This window comes from Homo sapiens, chromosome 3 (genome assembly GCF_000001405.40).
Source record: "Homo sapiens chromosome 3, GRCh38.p14 Primary Assembly".
Lineage (NCBI taxonomy): Eukaryota > Metazoa > Chordata > Mammalia > Primates > Hominidae > Homo > Homo sapiens.
Window position 1 is genome coordinate 67,368,635 of NC_000003.12, and position 19,256 is coordinate 67,387,890.

Sequence of the window (19,256 nt, forward strand, 5' to 3'; positions counted from 1 at the left end):
CACTTTTGTTACCCAGGCTGGAGTGCAATGGCACAATCTTGGCTCACTGAAACCTCCACCTCCTGGGTTCAAGTGATTCTCCTACCTCAGCCTCCCAAGTAGCTGGGATTACAGGTACCCGCCACCACATCCAGCTAGTTTTTGTATTTTTAGTAGAGGAGGGGTTTCACCATGCTGGCCCAGCTGGTCTCGAATTCCTAACCTCAGGTGATCTGCACCCCTCAACCTCCCAAAGTGCTGGGATTACAGGTGTGAGCCACCAGGCCCGGCTGGCATTTTCATTTTAATGAATCCGTAACCCACATTTATTATGTTAAATTAGTAAATGTAGTTAAATTGGGGTTTCTCAACCTTGACACTATTGACATTTTGGGTAGAAAACTCTTCACTGAGGGTGGGGGCTCTCCTGTGCATTGCAATATATTTAGGATTCATTACTTTTTGTGATTTATTGGTCAGTTCTTGAATATTGTTTTCCTCCTTCTCCACTGATTTTCTTACCTCCCTTTTCTTCTTTTTCTGTTTTTATGTCAGTATTTGATCACCTTTTTGTTTATTAACTGAATTAATAGTTTTATTAAGTATTACACGAATAGGTTCTTTAGGGATTTAAAAAATGTTTTTCTTCAGTTATATGTTTTTCCAAAAGGGATTATTTGTCTATTATGGGTGGTGCCTTCGTTTTTCTGCCTTTGGCTTACCCCTCTTTCCTTTACTGAATAGCACAGATGCCATGTTGTTTCTGTTTCTTGTTTTCTTGGTCATGATGAACACAGCAGCTGTCTACCTTCTCTTTGTTCTGATATATTGTGTGCTAATTCTCTCTGATCTCCTTATCTGAGATCAGTTGTCTACCTCCCTGAGAGCTGGGAAGTGCATATGCAATACTTTCCTGAGGCTGTGTGCCATTGGTGGAAATGTGTTGTGTGTAGCGGGGAGGAAAGGAGAGGGTGGATGGGAGCCGTTCCGCTGGGCCTGTGTGCAGTCTTGTTTGGAAGAGCTGCACCATGCTGTCTCCTCTGTGATTTTGCTAAGCATCTACCTAGTTGGAGGCGTATGCCGTTGCCATTTATTAGCTCTGGATGGTGAGAAGAAAAGACGCCCACTGGCTTTCAGCACAGAGATTTCAACCTTTGCTTCTGTCACATAGATCAGCCCAGGCATTCTGTTTTCCTGTTTCACCTGTTCCTACCCAGAAGCCATTTCCATACCCTAAAGAAGTGGCACTATGAACATTTTTGAGGCTGTTAATCTGTACTAAAAAACTGACCTCCAGAAACGTTATACTGATTACATAGTAAATACTAAATTAATGAAGAGTATCTACTTTCTTATATTTTTGTCAAACTTGAATATTAATACTTTTATTTTTAATACTAGATTTTTATAAAAAATAAAAGTATGAGAAAACATAGTTTAATGAATTTCAATGTATGCGAATATTTTACAAATTTTTTTGAAATTCACACGCAATATTCTGAAAGTTTACAACTGTCAATGGGTCCATACAAATTATGTAACATTTGAAACAATTAACAGAAATTTAAAGGGTTCTTATTTAACTGAATGTTTAAAAGTTCTCTTGAAAGGAAGCAATCTTGGAAGAAATTATTTAAAACATAGGATAATTAAAAATATGTTTAATAAAGAACAATAAGTAAATGTTTCAAGATAGAGTCATGCAGTTGGGAAACAATGATCTTTTAACTAGAGGTCCAAAATTCTTTTAAAAAAATAATAGATTTTTTATTGGTATCCAGGGAGCAAGGTTACTACTGTTCTTTTCTTAAACACACAAAAAGCACCAATTGGCAAGGTCACCTGTTTGTATCCATGAGATCATATACATGAAGAGTGATAAATAAAACCCAACCAATACTTTTATTAATATACAGGAATCCCCCCTTACCTGCAGGGCATCCAAGACTCCCGAGTGAATGCCTAAAACCACAGATAGTACCAAGCCCTACACATAGCATGTCTTTTCCTAGACATATATCCTTATGGAAAGGTTTAATTTATAAATGAGGCACAGTAAGAGACAAACAGGAATAAAATTGAACAATTATGACAATATGCTGTAATAAAAGTTATATGAATGTGGTCTCTCTCAAAACATTTCATTGTACTGTACTAATCTATTTTCTGACTGTAGCTGACCACAGGTAACTAAAACTGAAATGTGAAACCATGGATAAGGGAGGACTACTGTATGTGCTGTATGTGATTCCTAATACAAGGCTATTTATTTATTTAAAACGATTTATCATTGTGATGTCGTTTCTGCTTTTTAATACAAGGTCCTTCAAAAATTATTTGTTTTGCTCAGGGCAACTAGTTATAAGGATTTAAAGCACATGAATGTTCAATATTAAAAGGTAATTGAAAAAAAACTCCAAATTGAATCTCCAAATCTTCTAGTTTCTCCCATTGTCTGATGTTTGAAAACAGATGTGTTAATGACTACTACATCATGGCTTACTTTCATTTTTTTCTTCCCTAGCTAGGAAAGGAATTAGGAGAGCTCCCAATAAACATGCCTGTATGTTGCTGCCTCTACAAACACAAGGGAGGAACAAGAACAACAACAACAAAAACCTGACAATTTCCCCATAGCTGGCATATACAATTTAATTAATTTTGGATTTGTGAAATTTGGCATAAGGTGCCTAGGAATTGCTCCTGGCTTACTTAGAATATGAAAATATGAGATAAGACTGCCAGACCTAAACTTCTCCAGAAGAAGGGTAAAGGCTGCACACTAAATTTTCTCCTAATATGATAAAAGTGCCTCCAGCCTTTATCTCTTCTGCCCCTCTGCCTTTTGTCTTTTGGATGGTCATGGTTATAGATGTTGGGAAGGCACTGAGTTAAAGAGAAGACACTTGGGAATTAGATCCCTAGAAAATGGCCCTTGCCTTATGCCTTGTGCAAGTCCCGGAGGTGCCATTCACATTGTAGTCCATATGACCTGCCAGTTGCTTATGGTGATCTTTCTGCTTCTAAATCCTGCTTCCCAAAGTATGAGATACACAGGGCAAGCAATACATTCAAGAACCCAGCTTGCTAAATGTCTTTGCCTCCAACATCCTTTCAAATGATCATAAGTGGCATAACCTTAGTGAATTTGGGTCCCCATAGATACAAAACAAAGACCAGTGGCTTTTGACTCAGAAGACCAAGTTTCAATCCTGACTCGCCACATGCTAGTTTTGTGCTCTTGGTCATGTTACTTAAATTCTCGGAGTTACAATGTTCTCACCAGTAAAACAACAATGACAGATTCATAGAGTTGCTAAAGAGGATTAATTAGGATAGCACAGGTAAAGTTCCTGGCACACAGAAAGCACTTAATCAATGTGAGCCTCTCTGAAGTGAAAGTAACGCATCCTAATACTCAGGAGATTTAGACCAGAGAGCTATACTGTCCAATATGGCAGCCACTAGCAATGTGTGGCTGTCAATTAATTAGCATTAGACTTTAAAATTCAGTTCCCAGGATGCTCAATAGTCACATGTGATGGATGACTATATGTTGGACGGCACTGATATTTACCATTGCTGTCATACAGAAAGTTTTACTGGACAATAGAAGAAATGATAGAATTAAACAAGAATCCAAAGTCCAGAAGCCAACATCTTTGCCATTAACTACGAAACTCAAGAGGAGCAACTTTATCTCACTTTGTCACAATTTCCTCACTGGTAAAATGGATACTGCCTTTGCAGTAATGTGGTGGGGATCAAGTACACTGCAGTCACTTTTTTTTTTCCTTGCTTTAGTCTTTCCAAGACTAAACAATGCATGACATACTTACTAGCAAGGATCACTTTGAGGATGAGTTAGTTGATAGGTGCAGCCCTTTGGTAGTTTAATATTCATAGCCATGATTTGGTATTATTCCAATGCACCTGTGAGCAGTTAGGAACAGCATATGTTCAAAAGTGCAAGGAGCTACTGCAGACAGTCCTTGTGGTGATGGAAAGACAAAAAGTAACAAAACTGAATTGGTTTTCATTGGCAAGTGGCCTTTTGTAGACTTTTTGTAGCTCTCACAGGGTTTAAAATGGAAAGATCAAAGATCTTATTTCCTACTTTTCCATTTCTGTTTCACTTTAATATCTAAATCTTCCTTTCTCAGGTTTGAAAACAATACTCCGTTGCTGTCATTTTGGGGGCAATGTTGTATTTTTTTATTTATCTAGAGCTGGGGTTGGCAAACCTTTTATGTAAAGGGCCAAAGAGGAAATATTTTAGGGTCATAAGGTTTCTATCACAACTACTCAGCTCTGCTGTGTAGCATGAAAGTAGCCACAGACAACATGCACACAAATGGGTGTGTCTGTGACAATAAAACTTAATTTACTAAAATAGGCCCTTGGGCCTTAGTTTGCCAACTCCAGATCTAGAAAAATATGAAAGAACATATCCTTTTCACTTCCCCACATTGTTTCCTTCCCCACTATGATATATATTTTCTCGCTTATTTTAATTTTGAACATATAGTGTATTCTACAAATGATCACAATCAAACATTCAAATATTTACTTTAGTAATGTGAAAAAATAATATTCCTTCTAATTTTTATCAAGGCTTTGCACTTAAAAAACAATATAATTCTTAATGACATTTTTTTTTTCCTCAGAGAGAAAACTGAGAGGAAGAGACATGAAAATAAAATGTAGAAGAATTGTAATTTAATTCTTGGAGGAGGGGATAAAGCAATTAAATCATTTATGTGATTATTTCATAAAAGGATTAATAACAAGCAAATAGCCTTTTATTTTCAAATAAGCTCAAAGCCAAAACAATCAAAAACACTGATTACAACTCAAGATGAGATTTTGGGTGGGGACACAGCCAAACCATATCAGGTAGTTAATATGTTAAATGTAAACTTGTCTGAGTTTTTTATGGCCTATATTTATTGTATAGAAGACCACAAAAATTATTGTAAATGAACCGGGGCCAGATTCAGGAATAGGTTACTGACCTGAAACTGATCACTGGAGTCATATTCAATTTTGGGAGGTGTCTTAGAATTACCAAGAGAAGCTTCTTTCCTTCCTCTCTCCTTCCTCCCTCTTTCTTTCGTTTATTTGCTCATTTATTTTCTCTTTCCCTCTGCTCCCTCTCTCTTTCTCTTCTGAGGATGCTAAATTTGAGAACCTCACATGTAATGGCCAGCAGCCATTATCCACCTGTAAAAATGGCCTGCCTGAGAATAAAACAATTAGAGACAAGCTACGCTAAGGATGCAAAAAGAACAAGCTCTGATGGCTTTGAGCTTATTTGAAAATAAAAGGCTATTTCCTTGTTATTAACCCTTTTATGAAATAATCACAAAAATGATTTAATTGCTTTATCCCCTCCTCCAAATTGGGTTGACTGGAAACATCAATATTTACAAGTGATTCAAACATAGTCCTCTTCAGAGATCAAAAATTTAAAAATGTTGTCTAGTTGACATAATATAGGTTATTTTTTTTACTGCACCAACTAGTGATTAAGCTATCAAAAACCAAAACACAACTAAGAAGACATTGTTAATATTCTTCATTCATTGCATGGGCATTAAGAAAGGATGTAAGACTGATCTATCCAATAGTTTATTTCTCCATGGCAAACATGGCTCTAAACAATAATGACTTTCATACTTTTGTCCACACATAAAATTTATGAGAACAAAGTAAGCTGGTAAAAAAAACAAACAAAATAGTTTGGTCTACTACATATTTATACACTGAAAGGAAAATTAATGGTGGCAATTGAGCCTCACTTAATGGAATGAGTTATACTGGAGTATCTCCCTTTGCGTTACGCAGACTGACATCACAGTTCAACCTGTCAGACATCTGAGATACATTCCTGGGGTTCTGGTTTGTGTATAACTTTTATGGATTCAATAATCTCCTAACACAGAAATGGGTATCTGATAAAGTTGAGTGGAACTGGAATAATCCTGGAATGACCCAAATTATCAAATTTTAGAGGCATACCTAAGACACTAAGACTAGTGTCTTTGTAAAAAAAAAAAATGTTTGAGGAATAAAATTGAGTAAAATGAGAGATACACACAGATCTTACAGCTTACAAAACATAATTTTATTTAAATTTGTATAGATAAAAATCTACCAAAATTTAAACAAAAATTTTATCCAAATCCTTTCCCACAACAAAATTGGACATCATGGAAAAAAAAAACACATTCAAATAAGGTTCCCATCTTTCTACCATAAACTGGTAGATTCTGGGAGGATGAGGAGTAAGAGAGAAACGAGGAGAGAAGATAGTGATACTAAACACAATTTGATCTTCAGTGTTGTCTCATCTTGAAATATCTTAATAACAGAGATTTCCATAAGAATCAGGATTCATTTTTGACACAAAAATGGAAGCTTCCACTCCCAAAATCACAAATAAGGCTTCTGGTTTTCTTTTTAGTGTGAGGTAAACAGTATATTCAATATTAAGGCAAATGGTAAAAACACATGGATGGTATATTAATGCAGATATTCCATTATTAAATATATTTTGGAATACTCACGGATTTTTCAAACATATGTTAGAATTAGAAACCTGTAAAATCTGCAGTAGTGTGTAATAGCTATTTGCTTGAATGTCTTAGCAGTGCCTTTTTAGTAGCTAATATGTTCAGTGTAATCTTATGCCTTTTTAGTAATTAATATATTAAATATAATCTTGTCTGAGTTTTTAAATGGTCTGTTTTTCTTTTTCATTATGTAGGATTAGATGCCCACCAAAATTCTTGTAAATGAAGCAGGACTTGATTTCAAATTCTGTCTATACACACAATATTTGGCCACATAGACCACTCCCCAAAGTCTGCAAAACACTGCCTACTGGGCAGGCTTACAGTGACAGAAAAGTATGAGAACACAAGATATTATTTTTATAAAGACCAAAATCAGATTTAGGCTGTCTAGATATCTTATTCCAGAAAACACAGATTTAAGATTTTTCAGTGATTCTTGCCTTCCCCCTCCCCTTTTCTTCCCCAATGAGATAACCATTTCTTTCACAATGATGAACCATCCCTTTTTACGGAAAAATGGCTTTCTTTCTCCATTGGATCAGGACAAAGACATCACTTCTTGGCCACACTGGCCACAGCCTTCTTGGCTGCATCCTCCAGGTCAATGGCTGAAGTAATGGGGAGTCCGCTGTTGTTGAGTATCTTCTGGGCCTCTTGGACGTTGGTTCCTAGAAGGGGGACAGGGAACAATCACTGAATGAAACTAGAGGTGGCGCCTTATGAAGTTTGCACAAGGACACACAAGACTCACCTGTCTACAGCTTTTCACTAGGAAATGAATTAAATATAGGTTCTCATCAAGGTCACTGACAGAAAAGATTATGTGATGAAATTTATCTCAAGCTGTGGTCCAGCTAGAAAAGAAGATGAAAGCAAGGGCTTGCAAGAGGGAAATGAACATATTTTACTGATGGAAGCTGAGTTGTCTGCTGATAATCACAGCCATGTGGATTTAATGCGGTTTTGGCCCACACCAGAAGTCACTTGTCTTAAAGCCCTCTCAGACGTCATCAGGGGTTTGGGCTGTGACCTGATTTGAGAAAGGAAGTTCCGAGAATCTGCCCAGCTATGTCCACAAATCCACTGCTTTGGAGACTCTGGCGCATCCAGCATGTCCATTTCTGCCTTCTCCTCACTCTATAAAATGAAATGGGCTGAGCCCTTCAAAACGGGCAAAGCAGCCTCTGATGGCAATCTCTTGACTGTTCCTGGTGGATCTGGAGTATCTTCTGGCCAAGTCACTTCATTCAAAGGTGTGCTTGGGGACTATTTAACATGAGAACTGCTTTTCTGCCATTTTAGAGTGAACAACTCCTGTAGGAGAAATGTAATAGAATTTAAGTGTCTAATGAAATATCTCATCCTACATCATTTCCTGTGCTTTTATCTAGTTGGCAAGACAGAGCCTATTTATAAACAAAGACCTTGAAATATAGGCCTTGGAGAACTTGCCTTACCACAAAGAGTGCAGATAAAAAGAGGCACTGGGTCAGCACATTTCATATAAAGAGGCAAATGCTGGATTAAATAGAAATGGGTGGATTGAAAAGATGATGCAGCACTGATTCCCCTGGGACCCTGGGTCTACCCAAGCAGCAGTGAAGATGGCCGCTTGGCACTGTGTCTTCACCTTAAGGCTCACCTACTCCTGTTTTTACAGAGGAAGCTGGTGAAAGTCCTCTCTGGAAGGTGAAAGCATAAAATGTGGGAAGCTGCTACCTAAAATCTCCATGCTGGCTCTGCCATGTACTTGTTATGTAGTTTTGGGTAAATCGTTTAACTTCTTTGAGCCTTAACTTTTGTTTCCATACAGAGCACTATCATCCTCGTAATCTTCCCAAGAACTAATATCATTAAGTGCTTATGTATGCCAGGCACAGTGCTAAGTAACTTATACACAGCATATGAAATCTTTACAAAAACTATGAGTAGTCCTATTGTTCCTATTTTACAGATAAGGCAACTGAGGCACAGAGAAGTTAAATAACTTTTCCATGGTCACAGAGGCGGTAAGTGTCAGAGATGGGACTTGAACTGTTCTCTGTAATTATAAACGCTGCATGTTCTAAAGATATGCTAGTCTGCTTACCTACTTGAAAAATGAGGACAGTATAGCTGATGGTATAGATTGTGATGAGAAGCAAATGAAATGAGTGTAAAAGCATTTTTGTAAATGGTGCAGTATCTGTGGCAGGCCTGGCTGGCTTTGCACCACAGACTCCTGCTCCTCTTCTGCAGTAGAGTGCTATTGCTGGAAAGCAGCTGCCCAGCCAGAAACTACATTTCCCAGGCCCCCCTGCATCTCGAAGGGGACATGTGACTGAGTTCAGGCCAAAGGAATGTCACATGGCCATGACAATCTCCAAAGGGACTCTTCACACTCGGTTTTCCTTGTCTGCTTTCTGGAGTGTTCCTAGCTGGGGCAGCCCTGGAAGTCACCTTTTTGGTTCTGGTTGTGTTTTGTCTTGCTTTTTGTTTTTGAGATAGGCTCTCGCTGTGTCACCCAAGATGGAGTGCAGTGGTGTGATCTCAGCTCACTGCAGCCTCAGCCTCCGGTGCCCAAGTGATCCTTCTACCTCAGCCTCCCAAGTAGCTGAGACTAAAGGCACACATCACCACGCCCAGCTATTTTTTGTATTTTTTGTAGAGATGGGGTTTTTCCACATTGCCCAGGCTGGTCCTGAACTCCTAAACTCAAGGACTCCATCTGCCGTGGCCTCCCAAAATGCTGGGATTACAGGCATGAGCCCTTGCACCCAGCCAAATCACTTCTTGAAGATGGCAATGACTCCTTCAGCCTGGATACTTTAATAACTCTCTGGAGCCAAGCATCTTACCCACTCACCCTCTTAGACCTTATGGGAATGAGAAAGACCCTTCTATAATGTTAAGACTCTGAAATTTCTGCATTTTTCTGTTGTTACAGGAGCTAGCATTATTTTGACTAACATATGACTTTGTAAATGCTGTGGAAGGCAGCTTCTAAAATGGTTTTCAAAGATCAATCACTCTTGCCTCCTGGTAGTCACATCTTTGTAGAATCCGTCCCCCTTGAGTATGATCTGGACCCACAGCCTTACTTCTAATAGATAAGAACATGGCAAAAGTGATGGAGTGTCACTTCTGAGACTAGGTTACAAAAGCCTGTGGCTTCAGTCTTGCTCCCTTTAACTCTTTTTTCACTCTGATGAAGCAAACTACCCTGCTATGAGCTGCCCTCTGGAGAGACTCACCTGGGCAAGGAACTGAGGGCAAACTCTGGCCAACGGCTGATGAGGAACTGAGGCTCTGGGTCTAATAGCCAAGGAGGAAGTGCATCTGGCCAAGAACCATATAAGGGATCTTGGAAGCAAATTCTTCCCTAGTCAAGCCTTGAGATCACTACAGCTCGGCTGACACTGTGATTGCAGCCTTGTGAGAGACCCTGAGTGAGAGGATCCACCTAAGCCACACCCAGATTCCTGACCACAGAAACTGTGAGATAATAACTGTTCTTTTTGTTAAGCTGCTACATTTTGGGGTAATTTGTTAAGTGCTGATAGGTAAGTAACACAGATGTAAAAATGTATTATTTCATTAACACAACCTGCGTGCACTTTGATTCATTTGACTGTGGCAGGTGTTAGATAGCAGGCTAAGGAATTTAGAAACTAATCAAAGCATGGCTTTCATGGAGTAATGACAGAGTGTGAAACAAAAGCCCTGATGGACACAGGAGCAAACCAGTCTTTGGACCAGAAGGTAAATGACAGTTACACGTGTAAATTTTGTTTTAGACAGAGTCTTGCTCTGTCACCCAGGCTGGAGTGCAGTGGCGTGATCTCAGCTCACTGCAACCTTCACCTCCCTGGTTCAAGCAATTCTCCTGCCTCAGCCTCCTGAGTAGCTGGGATGAGAGGCAGTGGCCACCTCTCCCAACCAATTTTTGTATTTTTAGTAGAGATAGGGTCTCACCATGTTGGCCAGGCTGATCTTAACCTCCTGACCTCAAGTGATCCACTTGCCTCGGCCTCCCAAAGTCTGGGATTAGAAGCATGAGCCACCGTACCCCATGTGTAAATTTCTATCTCCTCCTGCAGAGACGTAGACTAGGCCCTTCTTCCTCTTCCTTTCTTCTTTTGAGCACCTTCCAATCTCAATGCAGCTCTAAGACCTCCAGATAGGTGCAGGAGTGGCGCTCCTGATGTCTTCCTCCATTTCAGATCCTGCTCTTTCTGGAGACTAGTTTTTTATCACGGTTCCCACTTATTCAGATAACTTCTTATTCAGTTTTACCTGAGTTCCTTTGCATGTGTATGGATGAAATGAGCTCTTGATCTTCTTAATTTTTTGAGATAACTTTAATGAGTTGTGCTTCCTTGCAACCAAGTAATCTAAATAATTTAGTTCCTTAATTAATATCCTCTTTTGCACCCAACTTAGCACCAGTATTCCCAAGGGAAAAGAAATGATTTAGAAATTCATGAGCACAAAGATGTGCTGGGCCACTGCCCTTGCTGGGCTTTCCACCCAGAGCTCTGTTGGGCTGACACCTCTCTCCACTGGGCTGACACCCATTCATTCACAAGGCATCTGTTAAATGGTATTTCTTTGGGGATATCTTTCTAATCACCACCTCCCCATGCCCCAACTAAAGCAGGGGCTGGTACAATGAACTTCTGGAGCACCTTGTATTTCTAAAATCTTACCATGGATGAAGTCTTATTGGGATGACTTACTGATGCTTCCCTCGTCCCCTCTAAACATCCACTTTCCTTTGTCAGACTTGCTTACTGGATACCTCCCAATATCCGTTAGCTAGCAGTACGTGCTGACCGACGGGGTAACTCCAGATGGATTCCCACATACAAAGTGTGCTTGACGAGAAGAGGAGTGGGCGGGTACTTTTTGATAGATCTCCTTGCTGTCCTAACAACCCTTTCCTATAGGGTTGAAATAGATACCGCAAACTGCTCAAGGTGCAATCAGGAGGGATTTTTTTTTTTTTTTTGGAGTCCTCTCACAGTTACCTAGGGGTTTTGGGAGTGGCTCCTTTTGCTGGGAAGGGCCCAGGAAGAGCTGGCTGTGCTCACTGCCCTGAGTGAGGACTCCAAGCTGTTACCACTTCTCCCAACCTGTAGCAGCTTCAAGTGCCCCAGTCAAGTGAGGCCTTGCTCCAGGCTAACACTGGTGGACAGGGCCAGGGAAGAAAGGGGACGGAGCAGTTTCCCAGAAAACCACAACCCTTCTCTCCTCCCAGCTGCTCCTTCAGTGCCATGTGAAAATGCCTAATTGCTTCATAATTCTAGGATCCACAAAAGTGAATTTTAATTATACTTGCAGTTACACTTTAATTACCACCTTAATTATTAAGCATATACTAGGCATGCTCAGAACTAAGCAGTTTTTGAAGGGATTCTCATATTCAAATATGAAGCTCATCTGTTATGAGAAATGGGTCATATGCAGAGCCATCATGACCAGGTAGAAACTTGTTACAGAAGGGGAAAGGGGGGTAGAGAGAGAGAGAGGGAGATAGAGAGAGAGACAAATGAAGAGAGAGACAAGAGACAGAGTCATGGGGAATAGCTCAAAAAGGAACAGACATAAGAAAAAAGACAGGTAGAGAATAAGAGAAAGTAAAGGAAAAAAATGAGTTTGCCAAGTGCCTTCCACACCAGCCCCTACCCTGATGCTGGCACCATCTCTTTGCAGCATTCAACCTGGTTTCTCCTTGAAGGCATAGCTCTACTGCCCACTGACCCTGCCCTTGTCGTTAACTACCACTTGCTTCCTCCTTCCTGTTGAGGGAACAACTGGAAGGGGAGGTGGGGACACGCAGAGAAGAGGGATTAAAAGGAAACCAGCTGGGCATGGTGGCCTGTAGTCCCAGCTACTCAGGAGGCTGAGGTCAGAGGACCGCTTGAGCACAGAAGGTCAAGGCTGCAGTGAGCTGTGATTGCACCACTGCACTCCAGCCTGGGCAACAGAGTGAGACCCACTTCTATTTTCAAAATAAATAAATAAATAAATAAAATAAAATAAAATAAAATAAAAGTAAAACAGCAGAGAGTGGAAACAGGTTATTGAAAAAGAAAAGGAAGAAAAGAATTAGAGGAAGCCTTGGAAATGACTGTGAGTTTCTGCATTCCTTTTTTGCAAAATGATATTATTTGAGTATTTAAGGTTATTTTCTTCTTAATTCACCAAGTGTCTGACATCTATTCCCCAACCCTCTCCCTGCCTTTACTTCTAAATAGAAATTATCATAGCTGCTTTAAACTCTGACATGGAATTAAGTGTTCTAAAGAGTGTTTATGCCTGTGCACAGAATTACAAAGGAAATTGATCTCCTTCCCACATTTAAATGGTGCTACTGACATGTTCTAATATTTATTAAATGCTACATTGCTTTTTAATGAGCCTTCAGGACAACACTTTTAATAACCACCTGTACAGATAACTGATCAACTCATGCTGGTGGAACCTCAGGCACTTCTTAATATCTGCTTGTTGAGAGCCACTCAGCTAAATGGTTATCTACCCACTGCAGGCCTTAAAAATGGAAAATCAAAGGGGAATGAGTTTAAAATGAAATCTTGCTCTACTACTAGGGGATATTATAAATAATAACAATTATTAAAATGTTAAAAATTCGTGACCTCCTTGGCATGTTACCAGTGACTTTCTGCCACTGGGTGGAGTAAGAGAGCTGTAAACAAAGATGCAAGGTTAATTTATCAAAATTTCTTCTTCGCTTTTATTACACACAAGAGAAAATAAAGGTAGTGGGCACATGGTACAGGATTTTGTTCGCAAGGTGCAGACGCCTCCTGCCTTTTATCATAAGGCTGTGAAGAAAATCATTTTCCAGTCTGGAAATATGTAGAAACTGTAATTTAAAAGTTATTATTTTAATAGGAATTCAGTTTTTTAAAAAAGAATACAGTAGTTAGCACTTATTGAGTACATATTAGGTGCAACAAATGTTTGTTGGATACATGAGTTAAGGGATTTACAAGTATCATGAAACTTAATCCTCAGAGCAACCCTGCAGTCAACATCATTTTAATCCCCATTTTACAGGAGAGGCAACAAAAACACTGGGAGGCTTCGGAACTGGCCCGACATCCCCAGCAAGTCAGAGGCTGAGCCAGGACTTGAACCCAGGTTCACCTGAGGGTAAAGCCACATAACCACGCAGCTGGCCTTTAAGTGCTAGAAGGAATTCACTAGAGGAAAATGAGGCCCAGAGATGTCAGACAATTTGCTTGGATCAAACAACCAGTTAACCCTGACAGGTCTGATTCTTGGTCTAGTGCTCTGAGTCAGGGCTGGCAAGTTCTAGTTTTTGGGCAAAATTGAGCCAGCTGCCTCTTTTTGTATCACCTGCAAGTTAAGAATAGGGTTTACATTTTCAAATAGCTGGGAGGAAAAAATCACAGGAACATTTTATGATACATGAAAGTTACATGAAATTCAAATTCCAGCATCCATAAATAACTTTTTCGTGGAACATAGCCAAACTGATTTGCTTCATCAGTGGCTGTTTGCGCTTTGCAATGGGAGGAGTCAGTCGCTGTGGCACAGACAGCATGGCCTCGAAAGCCTAAAGTATTTCAGCCCCTCTGCTGGAAGTAACTGAGTTTTTTTCTCCCCACTGGGAGAGGGGAATTCAGTGGAAACAAGCCAAATTCTCTAAAGCAGCAAATTCCTCCTCAAATGTCCACTGCTCCTGTACCCTTGCACCTCCTTCCTTAGTCTCCTTTCAAGTGGCAATTAGATAGAGGAGGTCCATTTTCTTGGTGACCTGTAAATTTAGATAACTTTTCATGTCTCTTTTGCCTTGTTACTTTATGTCAGAAACAGAATAATTCATTGAGAATCAGAGGCAAAACTTCTGCTATGTCAGCAGCTCTTATTTCTTTGAGATGATATGTGCCTAATACCTAGCACCGTGCTTGGCAGCCAACAGCATTGGCCATCCATGTGGCCTCAGTCGAGATACTGACAAGGGTTTAGATAATAATAAGGATAGCTAACATTTACTGAGCCAAGGACTATTGCAAATTATTTAAAAACTCATCTGCTCCTTACAGCAACCTTATAGAGTTGCCCTATTTTTATTCCATTTTGCAGAGGAAGAAGCTGAGATTTTAAACCCGGTTCTGTTCCCAAGTAGCTGAACAACCTGGGGAAGTTACTGCAGCTTTGAGGCTTTAGATTTCTCCTTGAATGTGAATCATATCTAAATGCTTTGTACCCCTAACATTTTATGAAGATTAAAGATGACATAAGATATTCTGTGTGGCTGTATTGTATCCACACCTAATCTCCTCGATGATTTCTTCTCGCACAGTAAGAAGAAATCAACACTCGAGGTGTGAATGTGATAGTTATTCGGACCATCACAGCAGGAGCCCCCAGCTCCAGTGGCAGGAAGCCAATGGCTAAGTTCTTCTCTACACGGTTTCAAAGAATGGTGTGTATGTGCTATGATCATGCAAGCAAGGTTTAGGATCAAGTCTAACATATTCACTGAGAGCTGATGCTACGTGCTTATGCTTTCAATTACGTTAACCCTTGAAAAAAAGCAACATAGATACTAAACCAAAGTTAAAGGAGCCTTAATATTAAACAAGAATGGAATGAACCCTCTGGCAAGCAAGAACACCTTACACTTCTGTGCTCACCTGCCATCATCTGCTAGGGATAAGACAATTCTTTTAAAGAAGGGATGTTTTATACACCCAAACATCTGCATGTGAATTTACCTTTCATGCTTTCCTTGAATCTTCCTCCTAGCTTTCAAGCCATGCATACTCTAATTTACGGATGATTTAAGAAATTTTCAAAGGTAATTTTAACAGTGTGAGACTTTTGTCGAAAATGCTGACTTTGGTCCACCATTACTGCCTAGGACAGAATCACATTCATCACTGTGTCACTCAGTGTGATTCTGTCCTTACGTGGGGAAATGACTGAGTGGACCTCATTGCTAATATTTTCCTTGGGAAGAAGTCAGATTCTCAGAGCTTAATATTGCCTGCCAAATTCTTACTTGACTCTCACGAGACATTTCAGAGCTTAGGGGAAGGGAGATTTAGATAGAGATAACGTGAGGATTTTCCAGAATTCTAGGTCTTGCTGCTGGCCTCTTTTCTACACTAGGGATCTGCAAGCTATAGCTCACGGACCAAATCTGTTCCACTATCTGTTTTTGTTAAAAAAAGATTACTGTGACACAGCCATGTCCATTCCTCTACCTATTGTCTACTGCTGCTTCAACACTACAATGGCAGAGCTGAGTAATCACAACAGGGAATATACAGACACAAAGCCTAAAATCCTGCCCTTTACAGAAAAAGTTTGTAGACCTTTGCTCTATACAATCCAAATTTCTGGCCTTGTGGCTAAAGGGTCAGGTGAAGACAAGAATCATCTTCATCTGGTGTTTCCCAGCTTGCAGTCCCTACTTCTGACTTGATATAGTGGTAAGCAGCTATATATCTAGGAGAAAAAAACCCACCTATGGTCTCTTTGAATTGACAATGGCAAATATTGGCTCGAATTTCCACTCCCTCCACCCCTTCCCACATGTGTGGCTGGAAAGATCATAGAACTCTTTTTCCACTGAGCTGGGATATAGCCTCAGAATCTTTCTTGGCACAGCACTGCTCAGGCAGCCACTGCCAATAAAGAGAAGGTGGCATGAGATGAAAGCTGTCTTCCCTCATCTGAAACATTTCTCATGAAGTCTTTCCCCATAGGTAGTTCTGCCTCAGGACAGCCTCAAGGTGGCGCTCTCTGGAAGAGTCTCAGCGGGACACACTTAGCGTCTATAAGACACTACAGACTGAATCACCTGTAAGTCTCGTCCTGATAGCAATGTGCTCGCTCGCTCTTTTTGATGGCTCATCAAATATGACTTTCAAGTGGAAATTGAGTCAGGAAGAAATGAACTGACTAGTCACTCAGAAGATACCCGAGAGCACGCAGTGGTGTTCTGACACTATAAGGCAGCACTTAGGATATGCGAGTCCTGGTACCTGCCCAGTTTTAAAACCTCTCCTTATAAAAATGGCCACACCCACAGCTGCTGCTCAGGGAAGCAACTTCAGGCTCTTGTTCCTGAAGGGATGACCACTGCCTAGAGTGGGGCAGCTACCCGACCAAAGGCAGCCCACTCCTGGGGCAGATAAGACCTGTGATGTGCACTGGGGGATGTTTCCTTCCATGCAGAGGGACAGTCATTAGTGTAACCCCTCCTGTTCTCTTTGCCTATCACTGGCTCCATCCGGGAGTGGTGATGGTGTAGGGAGCTGACTGAATATTTGAATGGAGAAAGTTGGCATGGGTAGTCCCGCCCCTTCCTCTGGCCTTCCTTTTAGGGATATGCCACTCAGAGTGAGTCCAGGTCATCCTCTGCTCCTTGGGTTCCACCCTGGGATGGAAGGTACACTGAAGTCTAGTGGAGCCTGTGACTGGGTTTACAAAGCTGCCTAATTCTGGGGCTTAGAGTAAGGAAGCTCACTGGTGGTCACACAATAAGGTGCATCCTCCAACTACTTCTTTTTTCTTTGGTGATGAAGGTAATACTTTTGTTTCCTCAGTCTATTTTATTTCTTACTGGGATCAGAACCCAGGTGGAAAAGGATCTGTTGGGCCTCTTCAAAGACCCTAACCCCAAGGCTTGGCTGGATGGGCTGTGAACAATGGGAGCAGTGGCTATTAGGTAAGCTAATTAGGTTGGCTACCTATGGGATCTGGACTTTTAAGGAACACCGTGGGATCAGGATGGCCTTCCTGAGAGGCTAGAAGGTCTCAGAGGGACCAAGAAAAAACACAAAGGAGTGAGAAAGTCAGTTCTGTGGACCATACTCTGAGAATCACCATAGTAACAGCAGTAACAGACACTTTATTTATTTATTTATTTGAGACGGAGTCTCGCTCTGTCACCCAGACTGGAGTGCAGTGGCGCGATCTCGGCTCACTGCAAGCTCCGCCTCCCAGGTTCACGCCATTCTCCTGCCTCAGCCTCCCAAGTAGTTGGGACTACAGGCGCCCGCCACCACGCCCGGCTAATTTTTTTTTTTTTTTGTATTTTTAGTAGAGACGGGGTTTCACCGTGTTAGCCAGGATGGTCTCGATCTCCGACCTCATTATCCACCTGAATAACAGACACTTTAATATGATAACTATCCAAAAGTCTTGTACACTTCATCAACAAACTCAGATTACTATACTCAAGCAGCCCCACTGAGTCAACATCTACTGTATTAGTCTGTTCTCACGCCGCTAATAAAGACATATCCAACACTGGGTAATTGATAAAGGAAAGGGGTTTAATTGACTCAAAGTTCCACATGGCTGAGGAGGCCTCACAATCGTGGTGGAAGAGCAAGGGACGTCTTACATGGTGGCAGGCAAGAAAGGGCATGTGTAGGGGAATTCCCCTTTGTAAAACTACCAGATCTTGTGAGGCTTATTCACTATCAGGAGAACAGCATGGGAAAAACCCACCACCATGATTCAATTATCTTCCACAGGGTGCTGCCCACAACACGTGGGGATTATTACAATTCAAGATGAGATTTGGGTGGGGACACAGAGGCAAGCCATATCATTTACAGTATCATTCTTGGAACAGCTCAGTTTTCCCAAGCTCTGTGTTGCAGCCATAATTCCCTGGAGACCTTCTCAAGAAAAAGTCCAAGGATATTTTGACTCTGCTGGTGTACCCCCATCCTTTGACATGAAGACTCCCAAACAGTTGTAGCCTGTGTTGTTCTCTGTGCTTGCCTCTCTCTTTGTATCTCTTTCTTCTTCCACTCTCTGCCACTCTCCTTTCTCTTTCCTTCCCTGAGACTGTCTGCCTCACATGTTTAGATCTGCACAATATGGACTTAATAGAAATAATAATCACAAAGGAAAAATGAAAATGGCAGACACGCCAGTCAGCAAAGCCTAATATGAACATTAAAACATACTGATGAATTAAATCTTCTTAGAAGTGTAAATGCAGCATAATTGATCCCAATAAAAGTAATAAAAGGAAAATAAGTGACAAAGCTACAATGAAAAAAAATTGATCAAGGAGTCAATGAGTGCATCAGTATTGGTGTATTTCTGATTAAAATGTTGATGTCAGACTGTTTTCAGGGTCAAAGTGATCAGAGACCCTCAGATTTTAAGAGTCAACTCTTCTCCTGTTCTTAAAGGGGGAAAGGTCTCTATCAGCCAATTATATTATTGTTTGTCACTGGAAATAACTAGAAATGAATGCACACTACGATTGACCCATTCTTTCTGGGGATCCTTTCTGTGCCTGAGTTGTCACAGAGGCCCACAATTTATTAGTTATTCATACATTTCGAGAAAAGCTAGTTACCCTGCCTTAAATTTTTCCCAAAAGATTTAAAGGAGTGCATCTTTTATTTTCATACTCTGCTTAGTATTCCAGAAGAATTAAGTGATTTTTATAATACGCAGATGATATTCATGCTGAAATATGCAAAATACCACATTCAAGATTATTTTCCTTAATATTCTCTGCTGATTGCATCAGAGGTCTATCTGAGATACTAAGAAGAAGATTTGACATTTCTAAATTTGTTAGATGATCAGATTTGAATCTTTTAACTAAATGTACTTCCAAGGTTTATGCCTGTGGTTTTTTAATTAGTTAATTAGTATATTAGTAAATACCATGTGCATGCA

The 19,256-nt window shown here is 40.5% G+C and overlaps 1 protein-coding gene across 4 annotated transcripts in view; it reads right to left on the reverse strand.

Annotated features, from left to right (window-relative positions):
• The window catches only part of SUCLG2 (succinate-CoA ligase GDP-forming subunit beta), a 294,153-nt gene that overhangs the window by 8,175 nt on the left and 266,722 nt on the right, over nt 1–19,256 (reverse strand). For 2 of the 4 annotated variants that reach the window (NM_003848.4, XM_047449140.1), the window contains exon 11: nt 6,085–7,225. The exons of 1 other annotated variant lie outside the window; for it this stretch is intronic. In NM_003848.4, coding sequence (NP_003839.2) covers nt 7,110–7,225 — 116 coding nt within the window. In that variant the 3' untranslated portion in view covers nt 6,085–7,109. Of the gene's footprint in view, nt 1–6,084; nt 7,872–19,256 lie in introns of those variants that run through there. One more of the 4 variants, XM_017007420.3, reaches the window with a different exon arrangement.